Source organism: Homo sapiens, chromosome 5 (assembly GCF_000001405.40).
Source record: "Homo sapiens chromosome 5, GRCh38.p14 Primary Assembly".
NCBI classification, from domain to species: domain Eukaryota; kingdom Metazoa; phylum Chordata; class Mammalia; order Primates; family Hominidae; genus Homo; species Homo sapiens.
This window is the reverse complement of record NC_000005.10, coordinates 141,526,503-141,535,967: the sequence shown is the minus strand read 5'-3', so window position 1 is coordinate 141,535,967 and position 9,465 is coordinate 141,526,503. Positions and strand designations below refer to the sequence as shown.

General features: G+C 42.5%; 1 protein-coding gene across 5 annotated transcripts in view; it reads left to right on the top strand.

Annotated features, from left to right (window-relative positions):
• The window catches only part of DIAPH1 (diaphanous related formin 1), a 103,980-nt gene that overhangs the window by 83,033 nt on the left and 11,482 nt on the right, over positions 1-9,465 (top strand). For all 5 annotated transcript variants that reach the window (NM_001079812.3, NM_005219.5, NM_001314007.2 and 2 more), the window contains 6 exons: positions 1,535-1,633; positions 6,271-6,365; positions 6,695-6,796; positions 7,027-7,266; positions 7,386-7,515; positions 8,271-8,395. In NM_001079812.3, the coding sequence (NP_001073280.1) occupies positions 1,535-1,633; positions 6,271-6,365; positions 6,695-6,796; positions 7,027-7,266; positions 7,386-7,515; positions 8,271-8,395 (791 nt within the window). The remainder of the gene's footprint in view (positions 1-1,534; positions 1,634-6,270; positions 6,366-6,694; positions 6,797-7,026; positions 7,267-7,385; positions 7,516-8,270; positions 8,396-9,465) is intronic.

Genomic DNA, 9,465 nt, shown 5'->3' with positions numbered 1-9,465 from the left:
TGTTTTAATTCTTGTTTATTTGTACCAGGTAATACTTTTCATGTGGTTTAAAATTCAAATGGTATAAAAAGGTTGTGTTCAAAAGTATTCCTCCCACTGTCGTGTTCAAACACCCCATTCCTCTGCTCAGAGGCAGCTAGCTTTGTCAGCTTCTCGACTCTCCTTTCGGGGATATTCCCATATGACTTTCTGAAAATTTGATACCAAGTTACACTATAGTACAAAGTATTTTACAATTATATCTGTCCAGAATAGTTACTTGGTTTTTTCCTATGTATTGCTCAACCCTCCTTGGATAGCCAGCATCAACCATTTTTTAGAGAATGTTACTATCATGAGAGCCATTAAGGGAGTGATACAATGAAATACTGTTTTGCCCATGCCCTTGAAGTTCAAAATCTAGGTGGGATGAGAAATATCCACACTTATTAAATAACAGAGGCTTTAAAAAGATCAAGATAATACGTATGCAATGTCACAAAACATTGAATAATTAATTGTTGGATGAGATATAGATAACAAATACCATGAAAATAAGTTTATCAAAGCAGAGAGTGAGTATCATTTATCAGGGAACGTTTCATGAGAAGGGAAGAATATGATGGCTTTGGATAGTCTGAAAAGAATGCAGAAGGCAGAAGTATATTTTACCTCAATCATAGGCAGTTGAGAAAACAAAATTTTTTTAGAGAAAGTCATGTTCAAGATGGAGCTTAAGGTAGGGCAACAGTGGCTCATGCCTGTACTCCTAGCAGTTTGGGAGGCTGAGGCAGGCAGATTGCTTGATCCCAGGAGTTTGAGGCCAGCCTGGGCAATATGGTGAAACCTCATCTCCACAAAAAATAAAAAAATTAGCCGGGCGTGGTGGCCTGCACCTGTAGTCCCAGCTCCTTGGGACCCTGAAGTGGGAGAATTATCTGAGCCCAAGAGGTCAAGGCTGCAAGTGAGCCATGATTGCGCCACTGCAGTCCAACCTGGGTGACACAGTGAGATGCTGTCTCAAAAAACAAACAAAAAAGATGGAGCTTGAAAGATAAGTTGGATTTTTAAATAGGCACAAAAGGAAGGATAACATGGTGGAAGGGGACTGCTGAACTACTACTAACCAACTGTTCTTGTGAATCAAGTTTTAATGGAACACAACCATGCCCATTCATTTATGTATTGTCTGTGCCTGCTTTCATGCTACAGTGGCAGAGTTGAATAATTGAGACCATATGGCCTGCAAAGCCTAAAATAGTTACTATCTGGTCCTTTACAGGCAGCTTGCTGATCCCTGCAAGTAGATAGGATGTAGGTAGGAAAGCATTACTGATAAATATTGAAGAAATGAAAATGAGATATTTATTAGAGTTGGGGGAGGTTCAGTAATAAAAGGGTGGTTGGTTGAAGAGGAGGTTAGTTTTGAAGGAATACAATAGACCATTATAATAGAGAGGAAGTGAGGGGCCATTTCACGCTGGACAGTAGTTGCTTGGTAAAGCACAGAGGTGGCTTACTTTTAATCATGCTTTTCTAATCTTTTCCCTGCTAGCCAAGAAGGATCAAGAAGGTGGAGAAGAAAAGAAATCTGTGCAAAAGAAAAAAGTAAAAGAGTTAAAGGTGTTGGATTCAAAGACAGCCCAGAATCTCTGTGAGTATCTCTTGGTCCCAACTATTCAAAATGTGAAGGAATTCTTTTAAGAATTTTTAATTCTCTTGAATCTATGGTCCCTTGATATGGAACTTTAATTGTTCAATTCCTGCTATATACCAACCATTGCACAGTGAATTTTCAGTATCATGTTTAATTTCTTCAATAGCACTGCAAGATTTTTAAGTATCCAGTTTTATGTCAAGGAAACAAGCTAAGACTTTTAGGAATTTGCTTAGACATAAAGCTAGTAAGAAGGAGGTCTGGGATTTGAGCCTTTTTTTTTTTTTTTTTTTTTTTTGAGACACAGTCTCACCACTCTGTTGCCCATGCTGGGGTGTAATAATGCGATCACAGCTCACTGCCACCTCAGCTTCCTGGGCTCAGTTGATTCTTCCACCCCAGCCTCCCAAGTAGCTGAGACTACAGGTGTGCACCACCATGCTCAGCTAATTTTTTGTAGAGATGGGGTTTTGCCATGTTGCTCAGGCTGGTCTCAAACTCCTGGGCTCAGGTGATCTGCCCAGCTGTGTCTCTGACTTTCTTATTTAAAAGTTCTTACTATGTCCATTGCGTTCACAGAAAGTCTACCACAGATGGTCTAGCCACTGGACATTTCCTTGCTCCCACTTTTGCTTTTTTATTAAATAAATAGAGAAGGGGTCTCGCTATGTTGCCCAGGCTGGTCTTAAGCTCCTGGCCTCAAGTGATCTGCCCACCTCAGCCTCACAATATGTTGGGATTACAGATGTAAGCTACCATGCCCAGCTTTCACTTTCTGATAAGTAAAGGTACTAGCTTGGCTTCAATTAAATTTAAAATTACTTTGTGATTTAAAATAACTAAGGTAAATTTTGTACTTCTCAGAGTAGGATCAGTAACTCCAGAGAAGGGTTCTGTTCTGAAGTTTCCACGTATACTCGTAACTCTTTGGTAGCAAAATTTCAAATGAGAAATTCCTCTGCAAAGTTGATATAGGTAGTACTTATTTGATGATCAGGACAAATGTTAAATTTTTGTTCTTTTTAATTACTCATCTACCTACTTCATACCAAGAAATATAGACTTAAATATTTATTTGACAAATATTTCAGGGTCTGCTATGTTATAGGCTCTATTAGGCATGTGTTCCAGAGATGAAAGGGTATTTTCCGTAAAACCCACTCATAGTCTTGTGATGCAGTTATTGTCCCTGTTTATCCAAATGAGAAAACCAAAGTTTAAATGATGCGAAGTGCCCAGATCACACAGCCAATAAGTACACATACCCATAAGTAAAGTCAGTGATACAATGAGACCAGTAAACTGTCACATTATTCTTGATTATATAATCTTAAATTATTGTCAATAACTATTACTACATAGTGTCTGTGGTGAAGTCTTATGGAGATTAAAGTATTGTGAGTCAGTTCCTCTTCCCAAGAGTATCTCTAGGAACATAAGACATGAGTAATTGGTTTAAAAAATGATACAAGAAAGACAATGGTGTAGTACATTATGATTTCTAGTGTTATGATATTGATATGGAAAACAGAATTTAAGAAAAGAAAATTGAGAGTAGTATAGGATAGGATGGTCTGGAAGATGGAATTTAGTGATTAAATGTCTCTCATGTGCTAATGATACAAAGCTGAATAAGACAATAGTCCCTGTCTGCATGAGCCACGTATTTGGTAAAGACAGAAAGGCAGATGATAACAGTGCAGATTAATAAATGCTATGATGGAGGTATGCTAGAATGTTTATGAGAGTACTAGGAAGGGAGGGATCTAAATCAAGTGGGGGCAGTGTTGGAGGGGCAAATCCCAGAAGATATTCTAAAGGAGGTACTACTTAAACTGAGTTGAAAGACCAATTAAGGAATTAAGGAGGCTGGGCATGGTGGCACATTCCTGTAATCCCAGCAGGAAGCTGAGGTGGGAAGATTGCTTGAGACCAAGAGTTCAAGACCAGCCTGGGAAACAAAGCAAGACCCCTGTCTCTACAAAACATAAAATACTAGCTGAGCACAGTGGCGTGTGCCAGTAGTCAACTACTCAGGAGGCTAAGGCAGAAGGATCACTTGAGCCCAGGAATTTGAGGTTGCAGTGAGCTGTGATTGCACCACTGCACTGCAGCCTGGGCAACAGAGTAAGACCCGTCTCAAAAAAAAAAACCAAAAAATTAAGTGAAGGCGGGAAGGTTGGCTTGTTTCAGGAGAGGGATCAGCATGTATGAGAGCATGAGATAACATTGTGCAGTTCAGGAACTGCAAGTAGTTGAGTACAACTGAGTAAAGTTTAAATCAGGAAAATGAGTGAGATTATCCTGTGTAATTTTTAGGAAGGCTGCTTTGGCAGTGATTTTGAGGCTGGATTGCTTTTTATCCTGTGTAATTTTTAGGAAGGCTGCTTTGGCAGTGATTTTGAGGCTGGATTGCTAAGGTAAGGGGAGACTATAGGCAGAGATGAGTTATGTCATTGTTTTAAACTAGGTGAGATGTGATCAGGGCCTGAAACTAAGGTGATGAGAATAAGAGAGGGAGAGGATATTAAGATGGTAGAATTAGGCTAGGTGCAGTGGCTCATGGCTGTAATCCCAGCACTTTGGGAGGCTGAGGCAGGTGGATCACTGGAGGTCAGGAGTTCGAGACGAGCCTGGTCAACATGGCAAAATGCTGTCTCTACTAAAAATAGAAAAATTAGCTGGGCATGGTGGAGCACGCCTATAATCCCAGCTACTCATGGGGCTGAGGCAGGAGAATCGCTTGAACCCGGGAAGCGGAGGTTGCAGTGAGCCAACACCATGCCGTTGCACACCAGCCTGGGTGACAGAGTGAGACTCATCTCAAGCAATAAATAAATTAAAATAAAAAACTAGCCAGATGTGGTGCCGCATGCCTATAGTCCCAGCCACTTGGGAGACTGAGGTGGGTGGAGGATTGCTTGAGGCTGGGAGGTCCAGGCTGCCATGAGCTATGACTGCACTGCTGCACTCTAGCTTGGGCAACAGAGTGAGATGCTGTCTCAAAAAAAAAAAAGAGAGAGAGAGAGAGAAGGTAAAATTAATGGAATTTAGTGATTGACTTGGGATAAAGGAGAAGGTGCTTTGAGGTTTAGGTCACTCTGCGGAAAGTGGTACCATTTACTGAAATAGGAAAATTCAGCAGGAACAGATTGTCTTTTCGGGGAGGTGGATGTGAGAGGTAGCAGGTTGGTGTCTTACTTAAAGTATATTCTCTAAGTGGCTGCCATCTTTTCATTGGCTTTGTGGTTATGGAATAAATCAGAGTCGTGGAAGTGAGAGAGAATAGGCTAGTTTAGATTGCTATAAAGTGAAAGAAAGAGAAACTGGTAATTTAGAGAGGAACATTGAGTAAGATTTAAAAAACTTGATTATGTATATATGATGAAGGGAAAGGTCTGTGGGGCTGCCTCTTCTGTTGACACATGAGGAAAGGATGAGTACATGGGAGTATATATACTTAGACGTAAATATATGAACACATGCCTCCTATAAGCTTACGAAAATGTTGGTATAGTTTTCTTCTAGGCGATTCCAAAAGGCTTATCTGAGTCTTTTCTAGTCTGGCTCTAACCAAGAGCCCTAGTGCTTTATTTTTAAGTAGGATAAGAGAAAGCTGAGCAAGTAATTTGACCAGTGGCTTTGATTTTTCTCAGTGAAGAGGAGCAGGGTCTTCCTGGAACAAATGGGGAAGTGGTGGGGCAGTGGGGAAAGTGGGAATATGTTGGAGGACCTGCCAAGAAGGGTGGGAGAAAGTGGAATTGGGACACACAAAGAGAATTGCTAACAGCGCGGAGGCCCCAGTTATCATTGGTGCTACTGCAAATTCATAGACTCCAGTCCGCATCAGCCTAGGTGTCAGAGTAGAGAAATGAAATGGCTAGACTGACCAGGGACCCAGAAGGAGAAGGAAGCAAAAGAAAGGTAATAGTAGGAGTAATAATACTAATGGGAGTCATAGTAGAGAGCAAATGAACTGATGGTTTAGAGGCTCCTAATGAAATAGGAAAGGCAGAGTGGAACTGATATATCAGTGAAAACAGAATGGTCAGGAGACTGGAAAGAGAGGTCCTGATAAGGCTGAAGAGTCAAGTGAGAGATTAGAAAGGGAGAGTTGAAAAAACAGGATGTATTTGTTAGGGAATAGGATATGGTGGTTTAAGGTCAAGGCAGCTTTGAGGATCACGTCCTGAGAGTGGGGAACTAAAGTAGAGTGGGGTGAAAGTCTTTGACGTATATATACTTTTTTGAGACGGGTCTCGCTCTGTTGCTCAGGCTGGAGTGCAGTGGTGCGGTCACAGCTCACTGCAACCTTGACCTCCTGGGCTCAGGTGATCCTCCCACCTCAGCCTGCCGAGCAGCTGGGACTACAGGTGCACACCACCACGCCTGGCTAGTTTTTGTATTTTTTGTGGAGATGAGGTTTCCCCATGTTGCCTAGGCTGGTCTCAAACTCTGGGGCTCAAGCGATCCGCCCACCTTGGCCTCCCGAAGTGCTGGGATTACAGGCATGAGCCACTGTGCCTGGCCTAAAAGAGCCCTGTTAGGAAGATTATCCAGCATAGGTTTGCAGGATGGGTTGGAAGCGGGAACAGACCGAGAAGAACATGTCTTAATATCTCATTTTCTGGCAGCAATCTTTTTGGGTTCCTTCCGCATGCCCTATCAAGAGATTAAGAATGTCATCCTGGAGGTGAATGAGGCTGTTCTGACTGAGTCTATGATCCAGGTAAGGAGTAAGGTGGTTCTGCTGGAGCAGGCTCTTCTGTGTCGCTGGGCACTGGCCTCATCTCTGTGTAGATGAAGAGGATCCTCCTCCAGCATTGCTGACTTATGAATGCTGGCTTTGAGAAACTGCCTTTTCTCTGGTGGTCAGATTACTTCTGGTATATTTTGCAAAAGTACCCCCATCTCAGTAGCTGCCTCTCTTCTCCCACCATATGTTTCTTTCTGTATGGTCCTTGAGCAGAGTGTGGGACTGACAACAGAGTAAAAGTTGTTTAGGCTTGAGTTGTTAGCGAATTCCCCTCCAGCTGAGATGTCTCTTCTGTCTTTCAGAACCTCATTAAGCAAATGCCAGAGCCAGAGCAGTTAAAAATGCTTTCTGAACTGAAGGATGAATATGATGACCTGGCTGAGTCAGAGCAGTTTGGCGTGGTGGTGAGTGAGGCCTGTGGCAGTAAGCGGTTTTCCACCTCCTGTATTCCCCTCCCCTCTAGAGAGCAGCCTGGGCATATGCTCCTTGCCGCTTGTCTGTTTTTGAACCTGTCTTAATCTCTCTCTTCTCCCTGCTCTGGAGCTGTGATCCTCCCATAGGAGGCTCAAGCGTGTATCTTTTTCTGACTTCCCCCTCTTTTGACTGTAATGGAACTGCTTGTGTTCTTTACTAGATGGGCACTGTGCCCCGACTGCGGCCTCGCCTCAATGCCATTCTCTTCAAGCTACAATTCAGCGAGCAAGTGGAGAATATCAAGCCAGAGATTGTGTCTGTCACTGCTGCATGTGAGGAGTTACGTAAGAGTGAGAGCTTTTCCAATCTCCTAGAGATTACCTTGCTTGTTGGAAATTACATGAATGCTGGCTCCAGAAATGCTGGTGCTTTTGGCTTCAATATCAGCTTCCTCTGTAAGGTGAGCCAAAGAGGTAGGGCAGGACAACACAAGGAAGGCTGTAGCCTCTATGAGTTCAGTGTTGGCAGGAGGCCATCTTGGACATGTCAGGATTTAACAGTTTCTCCTCTTTCTCTAAGCTTCGAGACACCAAGTCCACAGATCAGAAGATGACGTTGTTACACTTCTTGGCTGAGTTGTGTGAGAATGACTATCCCGATGTCCTCAAGTTTCCAGACGAGCTTGCCCATGTGGAGAAAGCCAGCCGAGGTGGGGCAGTTTGGAATGAAGCTAGAGCCCAAAAGTCTCTGCATGGGGAGGGAAATAAGACACAGTCTAGATGTGAGAGCATTTTCAGTTCAGACTATTTCAAGTGGAAATGAGATAGGATTTAGGCATGGTGCCTAAGTCACAAGGGCAGAGCGTATGGCTGAGGAGAGATCTTTATGTGTAGAAATAGGAAGCACTCTTTCTCTTCCTAAGGAAACACCAAACACCAAAAAACAGCTAGAAAGGCAGGTGTTTTTAGTCTAGGTTAATAGTTCTTTTCATTAAGAAAACATAGACTACATTAACAAAAATTAGGCCTCACTGTCCTGGAACTAGACAAAGAAAAAGCAGCATTCACTGGAAATTGGAACAGATTTCTGCCCCCGCCTCTATATTTCTATGTATATCTCCTTCCTCCCAAACCCTGTTCTCTAAAATAAATGAGACCAAGATCTCAGGGGATTTCATAGATTCATGTTAAATTAAATGAAGTCTCTCTTCTGTTCCTAGTACTGCATACCTTGTGAAGGCTGGAGGTTCAATGATCAAATAATTTATAGTTTCACTGGAAAGATGAAAACTTAAGTATGTGACACAACTAAAGTACATAAGGAACTAAAATTATTAAGTACCAGAATGTGTGTATAGACTGAAGCTATGCTCTGAAAGGTGAAACTAAGGGGTGTTGAGGCTGGGATTATTAGTAAGCTCTTGCTGTCTGTTTTTATGGTTTTTTTTTTTTTTTTTTTTTTTAGTTTCTGCTGAAAACTTGCAAAAGAACCTAGATCAGATGAAGAAACAAATTTCTGATGTGGAACGTGATGTTCAGAATTTCCCAGCTGCCACAGATGAAAAAGACAAGTTTGTTGAAAAAATGACCATATCCTCTCTTGAAAGGAGGGAGTTGTTCCCTAGGAAGGGAAAGAAAACTTCCTGTAGTGGGGGAAAAACAGGATAGATAGGGCAGTATGCAATTTTTTTCTCTTAAAAAACTCTTTTTCTTTAAATACATAGTTTTTTGGGTTTGTTAGTATTTTGAGACAGGCTCTCTCTGTGTCACCCAGGCTGGAGTGCAGTGGTGCCATCACGCCTCACTGCAGCCTTGACCTCTTGGACTCAAACGATCCTTACCCCCTCAGCCTCCTTGGTAGCTGGGACTACAGGCATGTGCCACCAGGCCCTGCTAAACTTTTTGTAACCTTTTTTTCTTTAGAGATGGGGTCTCACTTTGTTGCCCAGGCTGCATAGTTCCTGAGAGCATTCCATTGTTGTGGAGTAGAAGCACACCATGCAGATCAACCATAAAAGTCCCACCAACTCCCCTGCCTGTACCCCGTCTCCACTACACACGCTCACACATGCTTCCCTCTCTTTCCCCTCCCCAGAGGTAACCACTGCCACTGGACTTTATTCTGATTTGCACCTCATACATTTATTTTAAACAAAAACTGCATTGTATTGTGTTTTGCACATATGTCTTGGCCATGTTTCCATAATAGTATTTATAGAAAACCTCCTTTTAGGTCAAGAGATGGAGACCATCCTGGTCAGCATGGTGAAACCCCATCTCTACTAAAAATACAAAAAAATCAGCTGGGCGTGATGGTGCGCGCCTGTAGTTCCAGCTACTTGGGAGGCTGAGGCAGGAGAATTGCTTGAACCCAGGAGGTGGAGGTTGCAATGAGCCAAGATCGCGCCACTGCACTCCTGCCCGGCGATAGAACAAAACCCTGTCTCAAACAAACAAACACAAACAAACAAACAAACAACAGTTTAAACTGCCACCTTCTTTTTTTATAGGTGTACCATAGTTCATGGTTTACTATTCCCCTATTTAGGGGTACCTACATGGCTTTGGTTTTTGCTGTTATAAACAGTGCTGTATTGAACATCCCTTTGCATGCCAGTACTCATCTTTGAGTAATTCCTTGGGCTAGAGAAGTGGGTCTG